This window comes from Homo sapiens, chromosome 12 (assembly GCF_000001405.40).
Source record: "Homo sapiens chromosome 12, GRCh38.p14 Primary Assembly".
NCBI lineage: Eukaryota > Metazoa > Chordata > Mammalia > Primates > Hominidae > Homo > Homo sapiens.
The window spans coordinates 107,580,318-107,604,550 of NC_000012.12; the positions used below are offsets into that span (position 1 = coordinate 107,580,318).

Genomic DNA, 24,233 nt, shown 5'->3' on the forward strand with positions numbered 1-24,233 from the left:
CAGAGTTTATCATCACTGGAAGAAATAGGAAGATGGCACAAATGCGTTGCACTTAGAAAGTTGCCCTTCAGTTGTAGGCATTGTCTCAATGCGTGCAACAAGCTTGCAACAGCCTACCATGATCCCATTAGCAGGCAGGGAACTTGAGGCTCTCAGAGTTTCAGGGGTGTGACCAAGGTCCAAAGGGCCTCGAATTGTGGGCGCCACTGGGTGGCTGCCCAGCCAGCCTGGGTCTGGGGGAAGGCTGCCGGTTAACCTGGCTCTCTTTAGAGAGCCTTTTCTAGGTGCCAAAGCCTTTTGGCAGCATGTTGCCTGGGCAGAGCTGAAGCCTGAAAGAGCTCCAGAAAGACGACAGGGACGAGGCTGCAGATGGGAAGGGAGTGCTAGCGGACACCTTAGGCTTGGGTCCACAATCAGGGAGCCCCAAATAGAAATAACACGGGGCGCTGATTGGTTTTCCGCCGCTCCAGACCCTGCGCTTGGTGCTTCAAGTGACTCATCCTTATGTTCACATGATCGCCGAGAGGGATAATATTCCCAGATCAGTTACCTCCTAGCCTTTCCTAGTCACATTATCCCCAGGCTACAGATGAGGAAACTGAGGCCCAAGGATTCCAGAGAGCCTGCCCCGGGGTCACCGGTGCGGTCCGGATGTCTCCAAAGGCTCTCCCACTACTCTGGAATTCAGAGGCAGGGTCTCCAGGGAAAGCGGGGTGTGGGCTGGGGAGTCGGGAGATGGGGGGATCCCCGCGAGCAGGGGGTGGGGCCAAGCCGGCAGCCCCTGCCTCCGGGGAGGCCCTAACGCGCGTCTCCGGGTCCCTCCTCCCACCGCAGGCCCTTCCTCGTGCTGCCGCCGCTGATGGAGTGGATCCGGGTGGCCGTGGCGCACGCCGGCCACCGCCGCAGCTTCTCCATGGACAGCGACGACGTCCGCCAGGCGGCCCGGCTGCTGCTGCCCGGCGTGGACTGCGAGCCGCGCCAGCTCAGGTAGGCGCGGGGGCGGGCGGGGGGCGGCAGGGGAGGGAGGGCTCCGGCCTCGCAGCCTCCACCCCTCCAATCAGAGCCCCGCTGGGCGGCCTGAGCCCCGCACACCTCGGCGGCGCTGGGGTGGAGGCTCCCTGGTTGAAGTGGCAGACGCGGGCTGAACAATAAGCAGGTCCCTGGAGTTGCAGGGTTGAAAGAACGCGGCGAGGCCCGTGGAGGACGGTCCGATTCTTAGATTACAGATGTCGGTGTGGTTTCTCTCTGGCTGTTCTCTCTGCGCCTAGCTTCTCCCTCTCTTTCTCTCTCCTCCCCCAGTAAAATCCGGTCTTCCTGTAGTTTTTTAACCAAACCTTACAGAGTGAAATTTCTGGCTGGGTCAGAGAGCGCCTCTGCGTTTTCACTTGCGTGAGGATGGAGTGGTCTTCTCTGCATTCCTCAGGCCTGTATCCAGGGCTCTCCTCTGTCAAGGTGGGAATTACCCATGGGCCACTCAGGGGCCCCCATGCGTGGGTGCTCATTTTGAGCCAAAGCAAGAGAAATAAAAGAACTCACTCAGGTGAGTCATAATCTGGCTTTAAATGCAAAAAAACACAGAAACCCAGTGGGGCGTGTGTGTGTGCGTGCGCGTGCACGCACACGAACACACCTAAGAGCATGCACTTTCCCGACTCCCCCCACTCCCAGCTGTTTCCCAGGTGTCATTGTCATCATTTTCAAATCCCTTCCTACCCACTTGATGGGAAACTGCCTTTCCTCCACAGTTCATCCAACCAGGCCAAGGGCAGAGATTTCTGCCCTTTCAGATCTGATTGGGGTTCTGCAAGGAAATGGAGGGTTTGTGGTATGCAGCAGCCCCCCGAAGGCCCAGAGCTGTCCCTCAGCCCAAGAACATGCAGAGAGCGAGTCAAAGTCATAATTGCTAGCATTTATTGGATGTTTACCACATGCCGAGCACTGTTCTAAGTGCTTTACACAGATGAATATTTCCCAAACAGTGTAAAGTAGGTACTGTGATTATGCTCACTTCAAAGGTAAGGAAACTGAGGCACAGATAGGTTCAATACCATGCTCAAAGTCACTGGAGTAGTAAATAATAGAGTCAGGATATGAATTCAGGCAGTCCAGAGCCCTGGGATCATAGTTCTAACCACTGAGCGCTTTCCTGTCTTCAGATTTTTGTCTGGGCATTTTCTGGCTGTGCCACCATGCCTTGTACCTTGTCACCTACAATAACAGCCCATCTCAGGGAGAGGCGAGGGAACGGTCATTCACTGAGCACCTACCATGTGACGGTTATCAATTGCAACAAAAGATTTCTCTCTTTTAATCCCCGAAGCGGCATCATGAGGTTGGCATAATCTTCCCATTTTACAGATTGGGAACCATTGGTGGAGCAGCTTGTAGGTAGAAGTGCCAAGGAAGAAATTCTTGTGGTCCTACTCTAAGTCCAGCCTCTGCCACCGGACTGTGCTGCCTCCTGTTTTCAGGGGTGGGCGGGGCACATTCTGCGTGCAGGCTCACTCCCACCACTCCTGCTCATTGCCCCCATCGCCAACCTGGATGTCTTGGCAGCTCCTGCTCTCCTTTTGCAGGAAGCCCGGGACTGCTGGGTGACAGGGAAGGTTAGATGTTTTCTTAATGCTAACTGACAAAGCATTCCTTGTTTGTCATACCTTCAGGAGACCCTACAGCTTAAAAGTTAGGAGCCTGGGCTCCAGGGTCCCATTGCCTGGGTCCAGATCTCACCACCAGAGTTAATCAACTGTGCAAACTTGGGCAAGCTAGTTAACCTCTCTGGACCTTAGTTTTCCCATGAGTAATGTGGAAATATGAATAGCAGCTCTGCTTAGAGGTTGGTGTGAGCACAAAGTAGGATAATGAACGTGCAGTATCCATTCAAACAATGCCTGAAAGGAAATAAGTGCCTATAAAGCGGTCATTTTTAACTAAAGTCCCCGAGCCTCTGCTACCGCTGAAATAATAAGGAGGCTCCTACTTAGGTATTATTCTATAATTTTGGAAGGCCTTTAATACTTTCTCATAACAGCCTCAAAACAAACATTGGTATCCAGGAAAAGCAGTGCTGCCCCATTTTACAGAGGTGGAAATCAAGGCTTAGTGACATTAGGTAACTCTGCCAACATCACACAGATGGTAAGTGACAGAGTTGGGAGCCAGATATCGCACCCAGAGACCCAATGATACAACCATGTGTCATTTTTCTGCTCTCTCACCCTAGACCTAGACAAGCCCTCTCAGAGGACACTATCTTCTGGATGGCTCTGTCCCTTTTCACAATTTTGCAGACTGAACATGAGCCTCAGGGGCCACTGTCCATCTCTGCGCCCCCCCTCCTCAGCACAGAGCTCTTTCTGCATGGTCTAGCGACCAAGTGTGTGTCATTCTGACAGTCACACCAAGGATTTCAATTTCAGCATCTGTCCAGTTTGAAGCCTCAGCCCTGGCATTCAGGATGTGAATGTGATGTGCACGCAGGCCAGAATGCACAGAGGAGCAGAGGAAGTCGGTTCCTCTGAGTCCCTGGGCTCTTTTTAATCATTTATCTCTTCATTCTTGACTCATTTGTCTCCTGAATGATGATTTGTGTACAGAAAATATACTAATTGATTGTTCGAGCTAAATTTTCATTCGATTTGGAAATCATCTTCAAAGAGAAAACTGAAATATTCAGTTAGCTTACCTAAATAGTAAGTGAAGGATTTACAAGTTCTATTAGCTACAAAAAATTCAGGACATGAAAGGATAAACCATTTCTTTTAAAAAGAATACTTATTTTTCAGACTAGTCAACATACAGATACATCTACACGTATATTTTCTAATCTCATTTAATGTGACATGAAGTAGGAATTACTGTCTCCATTTTGCAGGTAACAGGATCAAAGAAGTTTTGTTCATTCAAGACACCCAAGCGTTAGATACCAGGGACCCACCCTGTTCCTTACACTTACAGTCCGTGTGGTGTGTACATAGCTGTCCCCAACAACTGTGCAAGACAGCCTTTATTATCCCATTTTACAGATGAGAAGGCTGAGGCCCATTGAGGTTATGGGACTTATCCGAGGTCACACAGCTGCTGTGAGGCAGAGCAGGTCTAGAATGGAGGACTTGGCAAATAATGTAAAAATACAGTCTCCTTGCTTCCCTGCCCTCCCAGACATTCATTTTAGAAGTTGCTGGGTGGGCTTCTAGTTCTGAGTCGGTCAGAGCTGAGCTCCTTCTTTCTAAATAAACAGCCCTAGAAAGGGGAAGGCAGTTTGGTGTTCTAACAAATGCAGGAACTTGGGACATGGTGTTGGTGGCTGGAGTGTCTGTGACTATTAGCACATATAATTACCTACCAGCTGGCCGAGGGTTCCTGGTGGGAGGCAGCCTGGATACCAGCCGGGACAGAGAGACCAGAGTCAAGGATTCCCAGGTCTGATGCTGGCACTGCCATTGATTTTCAGAGTGACCTTGATCAAAAGCTGCCAGAGCTCTGCTTTTGTCTTTATGCAGCTATGGGAAGGTCTCACCATGGTGATCAGGTTTATTCAAAAAGGAATTCCATTCCATGAGGCTGCATTTCTAAGCTCACAGTGGTGACCCATTTATTCTTCCTTAATTAAAGTATCAGATAATACAAACCTGGTGAATTCTCCCTTTTTTTTTTCCTGTTCTTTGGAAGGTGAAGGAGTGGGGAGGGCAGTGGAAGGGAAGAAAAGAGCAATTAATATATTCGACAGGGTTTCTTATGTGTTCTTAATTACTGGTTTTGAAACACTTCGGAAATATACAGAGTAAATACTGTCATTTTCCTCATACAAGAGGCCGTTTTTCTGCTCTGGAGTGAAGGCTGTGTTAAAATAAAGATGGTCAGGGGTGTTCTTAAGTCCTCTCTTAGCTGATAAATGGTACCTATCAACAGGATTTGGGGGCTGTTTGAGCCACGAGTTTATTCCAGAAAATGGTTACTCTTTTTGCAAGTGTTTCTGTAGTGTGAACCAGATTTTGAGCTGTTCCAGAATGGGAAAGTTTAGGGGTGGTAAGCTGCAAAGAGTAATAGAATGGGACTCAGGAGGCCTGAGTCATTACATTCTTGCCTTCACTCTATTGAGCACCAACTAAGTGCCAATCCCCATACAGATGCTCTCATCTAGGTCTGCCGCTTTCTAGCAGGTGACCTTGGGCAAGTCCCCTCCCCCATCTCACAGGGCTTGGTTCATCCTCTGTAAAGATGGTAGTAACAGCTGCCTTGTGGGCTGGGGAAACTTGGCGGGGGTCAGGGATGAATCTAACGAATTGCACCACTCTATGACCTGCTACTTTCAACCCTTCCCAGGTCCCCTGGGCACCTTTTGAGGCTGACAGGTTTTGTTATTTGTCTGGTGTGGGCCAAACTGGATTATAGGTGAAGGCTGGGCCTCAACAGCACTTTTCCTAAAATACAACTCTATAATGACAGCTGGAAGTTCAGGTTCATTTACCAAAGATGTATGGGGTGCTGAGGCCTGCCCGACCCACACAGGACATCCTCTGTGGCCATTTGAGAACAAGATCGTCCAGATAAGGAGAATTCCAACCCTTGGTGTCAAAAGTTACTATCCATTCCCTCCTGAGATCTGTATGGTACCTGATCTTTTTCTGGGGTCAGGATACATGGAGTGCCCAGGACCTAAATGTCACTGAGGTGATGCAGATGGTAAACAATAGCAGACAAATGAGCAAGATTATTTCATAGAGCATGAGTGCCACAGAGAAAGCAAAACAGGGTGTAGGGGTAGAGAGGAAGTGAGGAGGGAGGGACAAGTCCATCAGGTGTTCGGAGAGCTCCTCAGGACGTTGCAGGGGCAGGGACAGGGTCATGCTCCTGCTTTAAAGAAAGGCTTGGTATCTTATGGGGCAAGGGGCTTATGGCTTTCCATAAGCCAACTAGAGCTGCATCCGCACCAGCCATTTCCCCCAGTCATGTCCACACGTTGACCCCTGAATTCAGACCTCGGGCCTCCCCCATCTTTCCCTCCACAGGTCACCTGCAAAGGCTGAGCACCTGGGCCCAGCGTGTGGCTCTGTGAGGCCTTGGAAAGCTCCCCAGCCTCTCACAGAGTCAGAAACTTCTCTCTCCTCTCTCCTTGAATGCCCTTGTCCTTCACTGGCCCTGAACAAATCCTGCAACTCCCCACAGACTCTCCGGCTGGGCTGCCAACCCCTTCTTCACCTCCAGCAGACATCACACTCCATGCCACGGCCCTGTGGTGACCCATTTGGAGCCGCTGCCTCCCCCGAACTGATGTCAATGCATTAGCGCCTCCCAGAAAACAGAGAAACTGCCCTCTCCCTGATCCCTGGGGAGTTGCTTTGGGGCTCAGCTGTCCTCACTTAACAGAGGAGTCAGAGACAGGCCGCGGAGCCTGCTCAAGGAGCCAGGCTAGTACCTTGCACTCAGCAAACATGTATGGAGCACCTGCTGTGTGCTTGCCTGCTCTGTGCTTGGTTAGGTGGGAGGTGGGCAGAGAGATCCACACGTAATTACAGAAGAATGTGGTGACTGCTCTAGAGAGGTCAGTAGAGATCTAGGTTTGAGGGAGCAAGAAATGACCTCCCTGCCGAGGTGCCATTTGATTGAAATCCTGGAGAATAAACAAATGTATCAGGTGGAGAAGGTGAAAATGGGGAAGAAGGGGAAAAGGCATTAGAGAAATAAGTCCACACAGTGGAAACCACATATGCAAAGGCCTCAAGGTGGGAAACTGTTGGAAGGAACACAAGGAATTCAGAGAGAGAGAGCATAGGGCTCAATAAACGGGAGCACCCACTGTGGGCTGGGCCCTGCACCAGGCTTTGGATACAGAGCTGAAGGCAGGGCCGAACTCACCATGGAAGGTCTTTTATGCTACGCAAAAGAACTTTGGCAGTATCCTGCAGGGGGTAGGAGCTGTCGCAGATTTGTAAACAAGGAAATGACAACCGATCTATATTTTAGAAAGACGGGCTGCTGGCAGTGTGGACAGTGGGCTGAGGCGGGCAGGGGCAGGGGAGCCTGGAGTCAGTGATCCACGTGAGATGCTGACAGCTGGAGGAAGGCAGGAGCAGTGAGGATGGAGAAACAGGGAAGGATGCAAGAGAAACAGAGAAGGCAGAAGCAGCAGGACTTGGTGATGAATGTCAGGAAGAGGGAGTGATAAATATTCCAAGTGACCCTGGTGGCGGGGGAGCAGGAATGGGGGAGTGAGTGTTTAATGGGTTCAGAGTTTCAGAGGGAGATAGACGGTTGCACAACAGTGTGAATATACTTAATGCACAGATCTGTACACTTAAAGATGGGTAAAGTGATAAATTTGATGTTATGTCTATTTTATCACAATAAAAATATGGTCCTGAGGTGTTCTCAAATAAAAAAATAATCCATACATAGCAGGGTATACAGTGTCAGCACTGCCCTTGTGTGAAATACACACACGTGTATTTGCTGTACATGCTTAGGCTGCCTCTGGAAGGATAGATAAGAAATGGATAACCAGAGTTGTCTCCAAAGAGGTGAATTGGGAAGCTGGGAGTATCAGTTCCCTAGGGCTGCAGTTACAAAGTACCACACACTGGCTGACTTAAAACAACAGACATTTATTGTCTCACCTTTCTAGAGGCTAAAAATCCAAAACCAAGGTGCTGCAGGGCCATACTCCTTCAAAAGCCTCCCTCTAAAGTCAAGGATCCTTCCTTGACATTTTCAGCCTCTGGTGGCTGCAGGCATTCCTTGGCTTGTGGCAGCATCACTCCAATCTCTGCCTCCATCTTCACATGGCCCTCTTTCCTCTGTGTCTGTGTCCAAATTTCCAACTTGTTATAAGGAAAGCAGTCATATTAGATTAAGGCCTGCCGTAATAGCCTCATCTTAACTTGATTATATCTGCAAAGACCCTATTTCCAAATAAGGTCATACCCATATGGAAAAGGAGTCAGGACTTAACATATCTTTTGGGGGGACACATGTCAACCCTTAACACTGGGAGACAGTAGTAGGAGGGAAACAGACTTGGAATGTTGGGTTTTGTGGCTTGTGCCTGTCTTGCCTAGTAGGGCCCTCACCAAATGTTTACATTAAAAGTTGACTCTGAAGTTTCTAGCATGGGAGAGTGTGTAGCTAGGGACGGTTTAAACAAATGCGGCACAGGACAATGTGGGAGAAGTACTAATGGGTTCCATTTTTTGTGTGTGTGGTGTTTTTTGTTTGTTTGTTTGAGACAGAGTCTTGCTCTGTCACCCAAGCTGGAGTGCAGTGGCATGATCTCAGCTCACCTCAACCTCCGCCTCCCGGGTTCAAGTGATTCCCCTGCCACAGCCTCCTGAGTAGCTGGGATTACAGGCACGTGCCACCACGCCCGGCTACTTTTTGTATTTTTAGTAGAGACGGGATTTTGCCATGTTAGCCAGGCTGGTCTGGAACTCCTGACCTCAGCTAATCCACACACCTCGGCCTCCCAAAGTGCTGAGATTACAAGCGTGAGCCACCCCACCCAGACGGGTTCCATTTTTTAAATGTTGGTTGTCCATCCAAGTGAGAGAGTCCTTATCAGGCCTCTTTATTGGAGCAAGGTTACCAGAGAATTAAGTCCACACTCCAGCATCTGCTCAGAAAGGAAGCAGAGCACTGTGGTTAGAACCACAGGACTTGGAGCCTGACTGCCTGGGTTCAAATCCTGGCTGCACCGCTTACTCTCTGTGTGACTTTAGGCAAGTTACTCACCTCTCTGGGCCTCAATTTATGTATCTGTAAAATGAGGACAATAATTATACCCACCTCATAAGGTTGTGGGAGGATTAGATGAAATAATGTGTACAAACCATTTAGAACAATACTTGTGTCATAGTAAATGCACATGAAATACTAGCTTATTTTCTCCCCTCTGGACCAAGAAGGTCAGTTCTTTCTGGTTGCCAAAAACAATAGCCTCATTGTCCTCTGAAAAGAAGGGGAAATAAATATCTTGAAGAGATGTGGCATTATACCATTTGGGATATGGTTGGTAGCCCTCACTGAGATCTGGTGTGTCTTGGACCTTCTGCCACTGCTGGAAGAAAATCAGCTGGGGCTGTCTGGCTTGGGAGTCACTGTCCCCACCTGTGACTCCAGTGTTCCTCTGTGTGACTCAGGTTTTCTGTTGCCTCTGAAATATGAGATTTGGAAAGCCATCACTGGCTGGAGTCCTAAACCATAATCAAAGTAGTTGAACATCCATCATTTGCACCCAGGATGTGCAACCAGAGAGGGGCTCACTAATGGGAAAAGATAGCAGAAGGGAAGGAGGACCTGTGCAGATGGGAAACGTGGTCCCTGATTGGCTGGGCCTTGTCCCAAGTGAGCAGAGGCTAGGAGAGACACAAGGGGGCATGGACTATTATAGAAGAAAGGTTCACAGCCCGGACTTGTATTCCAGACAGCTGGCCTCCTCCTCTCTTTAGGGCTGGGGCAGAAATAAGTTGCCTTGATTGTGGGGCTTGGCACATAGTTGGGGCCCAATAAATAATTGTTGAATGAATGAAGGATGCAGAGAGCTGTCAGGAAGTGTGTTGGTGGTACTATAAGTGAACAGACTGAGACTTTTCCTGGACTAATTTTTTTTCTTTTTGAGACGGAGTCTCACTCTATCACCCAGGCTGAAGTACAGTGGTGTGATCTTGGCTCACTGCAACCTCCACCTCCTGGGTTCAAGCAATTCTCCTGCCTCAGCCTCCCAAGTAGCTGGGATTACAGGTGCCCACCACCATGCCTGGTTAATTCTTGTATTTTTTTTTAGTAGAGACAGGGTTTCGCCATGTTGGCCAGGCTGGTCTGGAACTCCTGACCTCAAGTGATCCACCTGCCTCAGCCTCCCAAAGTGCTGGGATTACAGGCGTGAGCCACTGCGCCCAGCCTCCTTTACTAATTTAGATGCAAAAAGGCTTCTATATAAACACACTAATAGACAGGTGACAACTCAGGTGTAGAACTCAGAAGAGAGGTCTTAACTAAAGAAACCTTTGGGGGGCACTTGGCAAACAGGTGCTGTTGAAGCCATGGGTGTGCAGGATGTTGCCCCTGGAAGTGACTGATGACGAGGAGTCACTGTGAGACAAGGAGGAGTGGTGCAGAGTCATAGAAGAGCCCAGAGAAAATGAGGTAGCAGGGACCAGGGAAACTAAGATCGAAAGAGGTCACCAGAATCCAAGGTTGCAACACCAGCAGAGAAAGGAGGCCACTGGGCTGGCAGCGAGGAAGTCATTAGTGCCCTTTACAACAGCAGTTCCAACAGGCTGGTGTGGGTGGAAACCAGACTGCAGGCGGCAGACAGTTTGCCAACACTTGGAATTTGTTCTGAGCTTCCAAAGTGTTAAAAGCAAAACAGAAACACATTTGGTACTTATAGCAACACAGGGAACTACATCTTAAATAGCATTTGAGGCTTGCTTCCAAAGTAAGCCTTCAGATTCAGGCTGGCAGTGTTGAGGGTATGTAGTTTGCCATGTGGGATTTGGCTTCCTGGGAAACAGGGATTTATTGATTATATATTGATTTATTTTTGGCCCACTCTTGAGTCTATTAAATTTCTCACCAAGATGCTTATTTCCTCAGGCCAGCAAAGCTCCCAAACTCTAGTTTAAAATATTAATTACGTGAGGACATTATCTTTCCTTAGCAATTAGTCAGGCCAGCAGTACTTACTACAAAGTCATGTGCTTAGTACAAAGTGCTTAGGACAAAGCCAGGACAAAAGTATTTTTGGTAACAAAGAAGGAACCAGTCCCATACTTTAAAAAGCTCATAGACATCACAACTTTCAGTGTGTACATGCCATTTCATTAAATCACCCTACAAAAGTTTAAGAACCACCAGATTGAATGATCTCCAAAGTCCTTTCTAGCTCTGAAAATTATTCAGCTTTGTGGTCAGATGTTAGATATGCAAAATGGCATGGTAATAGTCTGTTCTCACATTGCTATAAAGAACTGTTAATACCTGAGACTGGGTAATTTATGAAGAAAAGAAGTTTAATTGACTCAGCGATCCACAGTCTGTACAGGAAGCATGGCTGGGGAAGCCTCAGGAGACTTACCATCATGGCGGAAGGGGAAGTAGGCTGGTCTTACATAGCTGAAGCAGGCGGAAAAGGGCAAAGGGGGAGGGGCTACACACTTTCAAACAACCAGATCTTATGAGAACTCACTCACTATCACGAGAACAGCAAGGGGGAAGTCCACCCCCATGATCCAATCACCTCTCACCAGGCCCCTCCTCCAACACAGGGAATTACAATTCAACATGAGATTTGGGCAAGGACACATATCCAGACCACATCAGGCAGGGACACTGTTACCTGTGGGGGAAACTGAGGCATGTCATGGGCAAAGGAAATAAGAATAACTGCAGCTCATGCCCTCTCTTATATCTCCACAAGATGGCAGGAACAATCAAGAGCCTGCATGGATCAGACCCAGTTCTGGGCATTTCTCATGTCCACCTCCATTCAGTTTCCATCAGCCCTACAAGGGGCTTCCTTTTCTTCTTCACATCTGAGGAACTTGGAACTCTGGGAGGTTAAGAAACCTGCCCACGGTTACATGGAGAATGTGACCCATCTGGAATATAAGTCAGGTCTGTCTTACTCCAAAGCCTACGTTCTCTCTACTAGAAAGGCAGCCCTAATCAAAGAATAAATGGGAAGTGTGAAAGTCACTTTTGCACTAGGCCTTTGGGTTCATCTTGAAAGACTCAGCCTCCAGCCTCAGTTCCCCTTAGGAAGTCAAATGCACTACATCCATCTAGCGTCATCAGCATTTCCAATGCCAAAACTCCCTGTGAAGACTTAGCATTGAAATATTCTATCAAACAGCCAAGAAATATGTGAACAGTCCCCAACCTCACTAGTAATCCCAGAAATGCAATTCAATTTTATACCAGTCAGATTGGCCAAAATAAATAAATAAATAAAATCTGACAATAACAAATTCAAGCAAAGATGTAGAATAGTGAAAACTCTTAAACACCACTGGAGGGGACTCTGGATCTACTTCAAAGTGAACTTGAAAAGACATAATTGTACTCTAGGTCTATACCCTAGAGAAAGTCTTCCCATATAGAAATAAGAAGACATGTACATGGATATTCATGAATGCATTTTGTAATAGCAAAAGAGAGGAAAAAACAATCTGCCTAGAGAGAATGGATAAATAAATTATACTGTGTTGTGTTCATTCGATGGAAAACCAAGTAACAACGAAAATAAATGAACTAGATCGACCTGTTATTACATGGCCAACTCTCAAATATTATACAAAAAAAGCAAGTTGAAGAAGGATTTATGCAATATGCTAACACTTCTATAAAGTTCACCCACATGTAAAACATCCTGTGTATTTTTAGGAATTTATATATGTAGTAAAAAGAATAAAGCATGCATAGGAATGACAAATGTCAAATTCAGGAGAGAGGGTACTCAGAAAGGTAGACAAGATGATGGAGTCATGAAGTGGGGTGCAGGGGCCTTTGTGTTTGTAAGCCTTTATTATTTCAATTGTGTTGGATGGTCAGCGTGTAGGTGGTCATTATATTACTCTATATTTTATGTGTGCTGAAAATAATTCATTAACAATAAAAGTTGTCTACTTAGCCAGTATTTGCAGTAACACATTGAGAAAGCAAGTTCTGGGATATGAATATGCATTATAAAGAAGGGTTAAGTGATTCAATAAATCTGAGGAACACTAGCTTAAAATTAAATAAGCTTTAAAAAGATACTCAGTGCTTTTCACATCCTGTTTCCTGTAACTCTCAAAAAGGTTATTCTGTTTAAATATTTTACCATAGAGCAGGGGTGAGCAAACTATAGCTGCTTGCTACCTATTTTTATAAGTAAAGTTGTGTGGGAAAACAGCCCCTCCCACTCGTTTAGTATTCTGCAGCTGCTTTCCCACTACAGTGGCAGAGTTGAGTAGTTAGGATAGAGAACATGCGGTCCTCAAAGCCTAACATACTATCTGGCCCTTTGCAGAAAAAAATTTTGGACCCATCATGGAGCATCTTGTGGGACTTGTGTTACTAGGAGTGCATTTGGGGATTGGAACACTAGAAATTTGCCCTAACACTTGGGAATTTGGTTTGTTTATTGGTGAAAACTGTTATGAAGAAGGCCATCAGTTCTTTCTAGATTCCTTGGAGGGTGGATGGCATGTGTGCTTTCATCTTGAATCTCCAGCACCGAGCCCACTAGCTAGCATATACTTAGCACTTCACTGAAGTACTTCACTGAATTGATCTAAACTTGAAAACCATTTGTGGAATGGATTAATTAGGATATAGATTCATTAGTTATAATGGACATTCAAAATACATGTGGCTTGGATAAGATAGGAGTTTTAAAATCTCCCTCATATAACAGTCCAGACATAAGCAATCCTGGGCAACTCCACGAGGTTGGGGACCCAGCCACCTTCCCTCTTGTTGCTCTGCCATCCCTTGGGTGATACCTTCCTCTGCATGGCCCCACCCAGCAGGACTACGTCTATCTAGTGGGAAGAGAGAAAATAGAAGGGCAGGGCATGCCACCGGAGATTGCACACGTCACTTCCCCTCACTTCCTATTGGCCAGCACTTGGTCATATGCCCATACATAGCTGCAAGAGATTCTGGGAAATGTAGTCTTTAGTTGAGCAGCCATGTGTCCAGCTAAAAATTCAAGACCTGCAGCAACACATAAAAAAGGTAAGGTCTGAAAGACAGCAAACAGTCTCTGCCAGAGGGGATGCATTAAGGGCTTGCATCCTTAATTAGAGGTGACTCCTTCTCTGGAGGTGGCCCTCATTTTTGACTCTTTGAACATAAGCCATGATGCTGAAGCAAGATAATGCTGCCTCGTCATTTTCTACTCAAAATCACATGACAACACATTCAGACATGTGCACCGTAATTTCATTCTCCTGGGTGTTTGCGCCCTTGCTTTTGAAATAAATATTTTTAAACATATTCAGACAGACCCAGAATTTCTATCTTTTGGTATCTCTCCCAAATCAGGAAGAATTGGCAGGGAGGAGGACTTAGAATCACTTGTTTTACCTTATCTAAGCCAGGTTTAATGAGCTGGTTCTTTTCTGTACTTCAGTAGCAGCATTAAACAGCAAGTGGGCATGATTTTTGGACAAAGATTCCTCCTAGGAACTTTTGCAAGTGTTACATACTCCATTTGCTGAGATAATATAATTTTATCTTTCTTTCTTAGAAAGGTGCACAGAGATCTTGGTGTGACTTACCTCAGCACAAAGCACTCTCAATTTGTTCATCTTTTTGCTACCCAAAAGAAAAGGGAAAAAATCATCAACCAGGAGACTGGAAGCCCATGAAAGGGAGTTTGACTATGGCATTCTTGGGACAGTGTGTTGAGGAGGGGGGCCAGTATCCGAGTCAGACATATAGTCCTCTGATTTGCCATTTCATGACTCATTTCTGAAGGCGCCATTTTATTGTCATGCTTACAAAATCCTGTAATGGGAACTACTTGATATATAAAAGATGATGCAAAAAAATTGTATTACCCTACACCAGGGTCTTTCAACCTCAGCACTACGACATTTGGGGCTGGATAATTCATTGTTGCTGGGGGCTGTTGGTGGGGGGCACTCTGTGTATTGCAGGAAGCTTAACAGCACCCTCACCTCTACCTACTAGATACCAGCAGCACCTCTTCTGTGTGACAGCCAAAAATGTCTCCAAATGTCCCCTGACAAAAATCGCCCCTGGTTGAGAATCACTGACCTATGCAAACCTAAATGTGTTCATAGAGAGACTTGCTGAATGACTTTGGAAAAAAGATGGATTTTGTTCCTAAATATGACTGTGACTCAGACAAATTAGTCAGCGCTTCTGGTGCTCCCAGTTTCCTGATCTTAAGAAGGTAAGGCGTTGGGCTGTGCAATCTCTTTCAGCACTGACATTCTGGGACCCTGCAAGTCAGAAGCTGTTATATGGGATCTGTTTCTAGAATATGATTTGAAGGAAAGCAAGCCACAGGGGAGCAGATTTGACCTGAGGAGCACCCCATTTATACAGGCAAGAAAGCAGTAGGGAAATGTGTATTCAGAGTGGGAAGCAGGCCTTGCTGGCTGCAATGGGGGGAAAAGAAATGCTTAAGAGGTGGGGAACTTCCCAGAGGAGCAATGGCAAGAGAACCTTAAACTTGAAGCCTATGATTAGGAATATATATTTCTTTGGCACCCTACGCAGTACCTGGCATCTAATAGTTTGTTGACCAGACAGCAGCATTGGAAGAGAATCTAAGAGAATGTGGAAGGCCTTTGATAGCACAGAGGGGCAGTGGAGTTGGGCGGGAAGAATAGACTCCAGCAATAGCCTGCCTGGTTTCAAATCTCAGTTCTACTACTGACTAGCTGTGTGACCTTGGGCAAGTTTCTTAGCCTCTCTGTGCTGTCATTTTCTCTTCTGAAAAATTAAGATGAATTTTGTAGGATTAAAGTAAGGATTAGATAAGATCAAGTATGTGAATGAGTATATATGTATGCACATATATTTATATACATATATATGCATTCACATATATTATTTCACATATTTATATTCACATATAAATAGGTAATATATATAAGCATATGTGTATATATACGTATATTCACTTATATATTTATAAATATTGTGTGTGTATATATAATTAGAATATTTCCTGGCACATAATAAATGCTATGTGTTTGCTATAATTATTATTTGAGAATCATAAAATATTAGGTATGGAAGCACTCAAGAATTTCTAGCACACTGTTTGACATTTAACAGGTGACAAGAATGAATTAATGAAGATTTCTTAAAATATTAGTCCCTTAATGTTCATCTGTAATACCAGAACATATCACATTGCACCCTATTCCAGTCAAGGATCCAATTGCAAATGCCACTAGGGCCAGGCAGGAAACACACGGGTGGATTCAGTTGGATGTGGGGCAACAGGGAGAACTGAGCAAGTGTATGCCACACATAAAAGTTTTCAAATTTGGCCTGGTGCAGTGGCTCACGCCTGTAATCCCAGCACTTTGGAGGTCAAGGTGGGTGGATCACTTGAGGTCAGGAGTTCAAGACCAGCCTGGCCAACATGGTGAAACCTCGTTTCTACTAAAAATACAAAAATTAGCCAGGCATGGTAGTGGATGACTGTAATCCCAGCTGTAATCGGGAGGCTGAGGCAGGAGAATTGCTTGAACTTGGTAGGTGGAGGTTTCAGTGAGCTGAGATCGCACTACCACACTCTAGCCTGGGCGACAGAGCAAGACACCATCTCAAAAAAACAACAACAACAACAACCAAAAAATAGTCTTCAAACACCGTATTGGCACAGAGCATGAGTCTTGGGATTGCATTGGCCAAAACCCCTAGAGTTTTCCCCTCTGCATCCAGGCCAAGAGCCTCTCCCTCCTTCCCTCCCTACTCTCCTTACCCCTCCACCTTCCTTCCCCCTTCCTTAAGTTCTTTTCCAGTCAGACCTCCTTGCCTCACAATAAGAACAGAGTGTAGCTTTCCCCGTGGCTCTTTGAGAATCGCTGGGTTGCTTTTAAATAAAAGCAGAAAACAGCAAATCTTGCTCTTGTCCCATCTCAGTCTGACTTTATTCAGGTGTCCAGTAAACTGAGAAACTAGAGCTGGACACAGCAGACACCTGCAACCCTGGTGCATCCCTTAGAACTCTACTGAGCAGCCTGGAGTGTAACCACAGACAAACTCAAGGGCACATTGTTGTGCTTTTTTAATGCCCTGTGGGCCATAAATGCATCACCAGACTCATAGATGAAACCTCTACTCTCCTAGATATTCTGAGTCTGTAGACTCTAACATTCTTATCTTGAGCTCCAGAAATTAGGACATTGGAGAAAGCAGCCAGATCTGGCCCTGTACATTCCAGGAAAGACATGTTTCCATTCTGAGCTATTAAGAGAGTAGCCATAATGGACATTGTCTTAATCGGTTTTCTGTTGCTATAACAAAATACCACAGAATGGGTATTTATAAAGAAAAGAGCTTTATTTGGCTCACAGTTCTAGAGTCTGGAAAGTCCAAGAGTGTAGCACCAGCATCTGGTGAGAGTCATCCCACGGCGGAAGGGCAAGTGAGCGTGCACGATACAGAGAGAATGGCAGCTGACCTCACCTCTGCAATAACTAGCCCACTCCCATGATAATAGCATTAACCCATTCTTGAGGGCAGAGCTCTTATCACCTAATCACCTTCCAAAGGTCCCACCTCAAAACACTACCACAATAGCAATTAAATTTCAATTAGTTTTGGTGGGGACATCCAAACCATAGCAGGCAGGTATTTTCTGAGTTCATGTATTAGATAGATGGCCAGCTGCCATAACAGAGTGATTCCAGAGTACAGTGGCTTGACGAAGAGAGATGGTATTTCTCTGTCATGTAATGTATCAGCCATTGCAGGCTGGTGGGGTGACTTCTCCACAAGATCTTTAGAGGACCCAAGTCCCTTTCATCTTGTTGCTTTGCAATTCCTTGAAAGCAGGAGTCAGCAAGCTATGGCCCCTGGGTCACCTTCTGTTTTTTAAATAAAGTTTTATTGGAACACAGCCACACCTATTTGTTTACTGTTTTCAAGCTCTAACAGCAGAATTGAGTAATTACAACAGAGACCATATGGCCTACAAGCCTAAATTATTGACTATGTTGCCTTTTAAGGAGTCTGCCCTAGAGCATTAGGCTCACCTCCATAGTCAAAGCTAGGACACTGGCAAGTCTGCTTATCAGCTGGGGAAAGGGACAAAGGGAAAGTCAGAGCTAGGAGCTTCCTTTTAAGCAAATGACATTGTGTCATGCTGGTAAATGTTTAACAATCATCTGTCCCAGGAGGGTGGTGAGAGCTGTGGTTTGCAGTGTTTGCCAATTTCCATGGTGTAAATACCCCCAGTATGGCTGATTTCAAGTTAGCAATGAGATGTCACTGAACACAGGATGGGGAAGATGCACACAGTTGGCTTTCACAAGCCAGCAAGATCTGGCTTCAGCTCACCACTGGACACAAATGTTACCCATGCCACTTCTACTTACGTTTTGTTGGTGAGAACTTAATCACATGGCTATAGCCAGCCATAGAGTCTGGAAAATGTATTCCCTAGCTAAGTGGCCCTGTACCCAGCCAAAACTCAGTGACACAGGTGATTCTATATTACTATGAGGAAGAAGTGGAGAACAATGGTGGGGATGGTTAAAATTCATTGTCACACATTTCTTTCCCAGGTGATCTTCTTGGCCACAGGAATAAATGTTCGCATGAAATAAGAGCAAAAACAGAGAAGCTAATATGTTGGGATAGAGTAAGGGAGAAAAGCTATTACACAGTAAAGAATGGTACATGAGTACCAGAAGACATGTAATAAACTCAGGGAATGTCCATGCTGGGAGGTACCCAAGAGCTTAACTAGCCTAACATCCCCATTTTACAGACAAGGAAACTAAAGCTGTTAGAAGAAATGTGATTTGTCCAAAGTCACACAGCTAATGGGTGATACAGCCATGATATAACCACATTTATCTGGGCCCTTATCCTGTCTCTGCTCCTGCATTACCCATTGCTTTCAGAACTGTTCTCAAGGGTCTGGATGTTCCTCCTTCCTGGATAAGTCTGGACATGGCCTCAGAATCCCCCTTGACACCATCCTCCAGTCAACCATAGCTGTGAATCAGAGTTGATGCACAAGTTGAACCCTGTCTGCCATCCTTGGTTTAGGTGTTGTTTCAAGGCCACCATGAAATTCCCCGGAGATCCTGAACAGGTGTTGGGGTGTTGACTGCCTGGAGTGTTTCCTGCATTTCAGATGGCTGCCTAGGTCCACGTCATCTAGATATTCCTAGCCTATATGAGTATTACACATCCCGCTTTTCTCAGTGCATGTTCATAAACAGTGCCTCAGCCTAACAAAAACAGATTCATGTGTATGATCTCACTTCATCCTCACCAAAATCTTAACACATATGTACTGTTCTCCCCATTTAATAGATGAGAAAGTGGAAGCATAGCCACAGATGGGATAGTTTGCTGAAGGTAACACAGCAAAGACATGTGCTGTGTCCGCATGCATTTCAACTCCAGCAGTTCCCTGCTGCCCTTCAGTGGTGTCCTGAGTATCCAGACAAGTGAAATCAGCATTATTGTCTACTGGATACCATCCATCTCTGTTATGCACACAGAGGAATATGAAAGGCTGGCGACTTGGTCCTTAATTACTATTTTGAGTTAGTGTTGTGCTTTCATTTCTCCCCGCTAGGTACCTTCATTTTCAATTATGTCGTTACCTGTGTAGCCAAACAGCTCACTTAACTTCCTTTTCCACGACAGCCTTGTGAGGCTGGGGCCCCTCTCTGACTCACTTGCTGTTGTATTACCGCACCTAATCCAGTGCCTGGCCGATACTGGAGCCCAATAAATATGCATGTGTGAATTATTATGTGCCAATTAAAAATAATAATAAAAGCCAAAAAAAAAAGTCTGTATGAATGAATGAGTGATGGTATTTCCCTGAGACTCTGAGGTTCTCCAGAGCAGAAATCACATCCTATTGGCCTCTTTGGATCCCCAGTGTGTGGCACAGAGTAGATATTCAGTAATGTTGAATTCTGCGGAATGGGCTGGGATGGAGTATGGGCATTCACCCACAAACACAGGTCTTACTTGAGCCTGGACTTTGGAATGAGACAGATCTGGGTTGAAATTGAAGTCTAAGGAGCTGAGTGACTGTAGGGCCAGATATGTAACTCCTCTGAGTCTCTGTTTCCTCATCTATAAAACAGGGACATGAAAGCTTACCTTTTGGGGTTCCTGAGGGTTTAAGCAAGATACAGGTGTGAGCTGAGGAGTCAGGATGCCTGGGTTGAGTGCCAGCTCCATCACCTACAAGCTGTGCGACCTTGAGCAACCGATACGCAACCTCGATGCCGCAATTTTTCTTCTGTAAAATGAGCACAACAGTCCACAGTTTATGAGATTATTTTGAAGATTTAAGTGAGCTATTATATGTGAAATACTTAACAAATGAAAAGCTGTCTATAAATGCCAGTCATGATTATGATATTAACTATAGTGTGTTGGGAAAGCTGTTTGTAAATGTTTACTGTGCCTTTGGTTATTGTTATTATCTTTGCTCTCTTCCAAGACAACTAATCTGACTGCTGGATGGAGCCATAGTGTAACCCAAACCACAATTCCCAGGGGCCCACACAGCAGAACGGGGCTGCATCCTCTCATATTTATCCCCACAACAGCCAAACACCTCAGTCTGCACCTTCCAATGGTGGGCTTCAGGAATCTTCCATATGAGCAAGGAAAAGTGACTTTTCCTCTCACACAGCTCCCCAGGCAGATGGCTGCTGCCTTGGAGAGGAGCCTTGGAATTTGCTCTGTTGCAGATTGCCAACCTGCTGGTGAGACCCAGATGAATGAGAACAGAAACACATGCACAGAGAAGTGAGAAGCCACTGGAGCCACGGCAGAGCTCTCACGAGGCCCTGCAAGTGACAGGCCACAGGGAGGGCTGGGATCAGAGGGACCAGGCTCTAGAACAATTGGAAAAGGACTTGGCAGCAAGGAAAGACCTGCCCTGGGATTGGAGGATTGTGTGGCTGAAGGATGGTGGTGGGGGGGTGTCCAGATGGCCTGATTAAATCCCTGGAGAGAGGATCTGCAATTATAAAATCATAGCAATGAATTACGCATTCCATGTATTAGGCAATTATTATCATCACACACCGTGCTAAGTGGTTCAAAAGAATTATCTCTTTTAAACCTCATTGCAGATGTAGACAGTGAAGACTATTATCATCTTCCCTGTTTTGCAGAGGGGGAGACTGAGGCTTAGAGAGTTTTTTTCACCTGCCCAAGATCCCTTAGCAAGTAAGTACTGGGATGTGAATTTTGGTCTTAGGCACCAGCCTCTCCTGCCTCTGTGAGGGCAAAGGCTTTGGATTCAGACACTCAGACCTTCGCCTCAGTTTCCTTGCTGGTAGAATTGCATAATGATGATGATCTCCTCCCAAGAGAGGATCCATTGAAGTGGTGAAAATTGGCTATTTAGCACCGTGTGTGAAACACAATAAGCACGTAATAAAGGGTGTAGTGTTTCTATGAGTGATCATGGTTATTGGGGCTGCTCGGGCCTTTTGTGGTACAGGATCCCAGAGTCATAGTATGAGGAATCCCTTTGGAAGCCTGTGCTTCCAAGCAGCAGCAGCAGCCCAGTGTTTGGCAGCACATCACTAAGAACTGGGCCATGCAGAGTGATCAGCAGGATGGACTATGGAGCCAGACTGCTGGGTTCAAATCCTGACTCCTACTCAGCTGTGTGACAATGAGCAAGTTGATTAACCCCTCTGTGCCCCATTTTCCTTATCTGTGAAATAAATTTAAAATAATAGTGCCTTCATCATAGGGTTATTATGAGGATTAAACAAGTTCGTATTTGTAAAAAGCTTACAATATGCCTGACAAATAGGAATGCTATGTAAGTATTTGTTAATAAAGCATGTTAAATAAGATTAGTGTTCCCATTTTACATATGAGAAAGCAAAATGAAATTAAAGCTGTGCCAGGTTGCCTGGTGAGTGAGGGCACAGCCAAGGGATGAACCCGGGCAGCCTGGCCTCCGAGCCCAGATCCTCAGGGGTGGGCTTAACAGAGTTACACTGGAGTAAAACTCTCAGGGAACCTGGGAGCTGCCGGTTACCTTCTAGCAACAGTGAGGTCAGGATTGGTCCTTGGAATCAGAGACAAAAAGGAGGGCCACGAGCCTGGTAGGGTAGGCCCACGGCACCCTAAGGGTCTCTGAACTATTCCAGAAACTGCATTCATCTAGCACTGACTCCCTCCCCACCCTCTGCTATCACTCACAAAACCATGCTGGACAGGGATGGCAGCCTTCCTGGGGGCCAGGCTTTCCCCACTGGGTAAGGTCTACTGTGATTCTGGTGGTATTTGTTAGATATGATATCTAATTTGAGACCTTAAAAAGCACTTGGACTGTAGTCTCTGTGTCTCTGTATTTGCTTCTTCCAAATACAGTATATTCTTTCCAAAGTCTGCACTTTGCTTTGTAATTTATTTAATGATTATCATAGGAGATCTCTGACACTTAATGAGAGCTGTATGCTGAGCGCAGTACTCTGCTAAGCGCTATACACGAATTATCTCATTTAATTCATATCCAAAATCCTGTAAAGAAAGTATTACTAAGTTCAGTGTACAGATGAGAAAACTGAACAATAAAGTGGTTACGTAACTGGCCCCAAGATCACACAACTGCCAAATAGCAGACTTGGGATTTGAGATACCAGAGTTTATGCTCATAATTTCTATGCTAGCTTTAAAACATAATAAATGCATAAAGATGTCCAGGGCCTGACCAGCTTGCATTTGGCACTCACAAAGCATCCAGAGATCAGCAGAATGCATTAACTCCCCGCCTCGGTGCCGCCTCCTTCCCAAGAGAGAGAAAGCAACGCCATCGCTTGCTGTCCTCAGGCCTGCAGGCTTCCTGGAAAACATCCTTCTAAAGTCATGTCCCTGAAGTGGTGGAAGATATTGAGCCTATCTCTCGGGGCTGGGGCACTTGAGAATCAGAGAAATTGACCACCTCGGTAGCTGCCCTCTCACTTAAATTGATCAGATTTTTTACTGCATCATTGAAAGCCACTTGAAGGGAAAACCATAAAGCTGGTTGCCTTCTAGTGATGCCCCAGGTGACCAGCTGAATAGATTTCTGCATAAATAAGTCAGGCACTCAAGAGGGCACACTTATTTGTCCAGGCCACGGAGGGACATGTTGGTTTACAGTGGTGGAGATCCTTCAGAAACTTTCTGGAAAGACTGTATGGGGCTCTCAGCCACATTTACAGATATGCTACAGGAACTTTTTTTGCAGAGTTAAACATTTCTGACAAATCGGGTTGAACAGAAAGCCACAGTTGTCATAGATTTTTATGGAAAATGTTTCTTACCTGCTCTAGTTCACTTGCCTGACTTAGCTGGTAAAATTCAGTAACCAGAACCATTATTTATTATTTATTTTGGATGACCAAGGGATTATTGATAAACAGATGCCTTCTGGGGCCTGCTTTCAAGAATGAAGACCACACAATGGCAAAGGACGCTCTCTTCAGTAAAAGGCTTTGGGGAAACTGGATATCCACATGCAGAAGAATGAAATTAGACCCTTATGGCATCCATATACACAAATCAGCTCAAAATGTAAGACCTGAAACTGTAAAACCACTAGAAAACACAGGTGGAAATTTCCATAACATTGGCCTGGGCAATGATTTTTTTGGTGATGACTCCAAAAGTATAGGCAACAAAAGCAAAAATAGACAAATGGGATTGCATCAAATTAAAGAGCTTCTGCACAGCAAAGGAAACAATCAACAGGGTGAAGACACAACTTATGGAATGGGAGAAAATACTTGCAAATCATACATCTGATATGGGGTTAATATCCAAAATATATCAGGAACTCAAACACCTCAATAGTAAGGAAATTATCCGATTAAAAAATGAGTGAGGGCCGGGCGTGGTGGCTCATGCCTGTAATCCCAGCACTTTGGGAGGCTGAGGCAGGCGGATCACAAGGTCAGGAGATCGAGACCATCCTGGCTAACATAGTGAAACCCCATCTCTACTAAAAATACAAAAAATTAGCCAGGTGTGGTGGCGGGCACCTGTAGTCCTAGCTACTCGGGAGGCTGAGGCAGGAGAATGGCGTGAACCCAGGAGGCAGAGCTTGCAGTGAGCCGAGATCACGCCACTGCACTCCAGCCTGGGCGACAGAGTGAGACTCCATCTCAAAAAAAAATGAGTGAAGGCCAGGCACGGTGGCACTTTGGGAGGCCGAAGCAGGCAGGTCACTTGAGCTCGAGTTCGAGATCAGCCTGGCCAACATAGAGAAACTCTGTCCCTACTAAAAATACAAAAATTAGCTGGGCATGCTGATGCATGCCTGTAATCCCAGCTACTCAGGTGGCTGAGGCATGAGAGTCACTTGAACCTGGGAGGCAGAGGCTGCAGTGAGCTGAGATCGCACCACTGCACTCCAGCATGGACAACAGAGAGAAAAAAAAATAATGAGCCAAGGTCCTAAACATGTCATTTCTCAAAAGAAGACATATAAATGGCCAACAGGTATATGAAAAAATGCTCAATATCGCTAACTGTCAGGGAATGCAAAT

At 45.8% G+C, this 24,233-nt stretch overlaps 1 protein-coding gene across 8 annotated transcripts in view; it reads left to right on the top strand.

The window, feature by feature from the left end:
* Window positions 1-24,233, top strand: part of ABTB3 (ankyrin repeat and BTB domain containing 3) — a 341,209-nt gene that overhangs the window by 261,884 nt on the left and 55,092 nt on the right. For 6 of the 8 annotated variants that reach the window (NM_001018072.2, NM_001347943.2, XM_011537910.4 and 3 more), the window contains exon 4: window positions 835-987. The exons of 1 other annotated variant lie outside the window; for it this stretch is intronic. In NM_001018072.2, coding sequence (NP_001018082.1) covers window positions 835-987 — 153 coding nt within the window. Of the gene's footprint in view, window positions 1-556; window positions 691-834; window positions 988-24,233 lie in introns of those variants that run through there. One more of the 8 variants, NM_001017523.2, reaches the window with a different exon arrangement.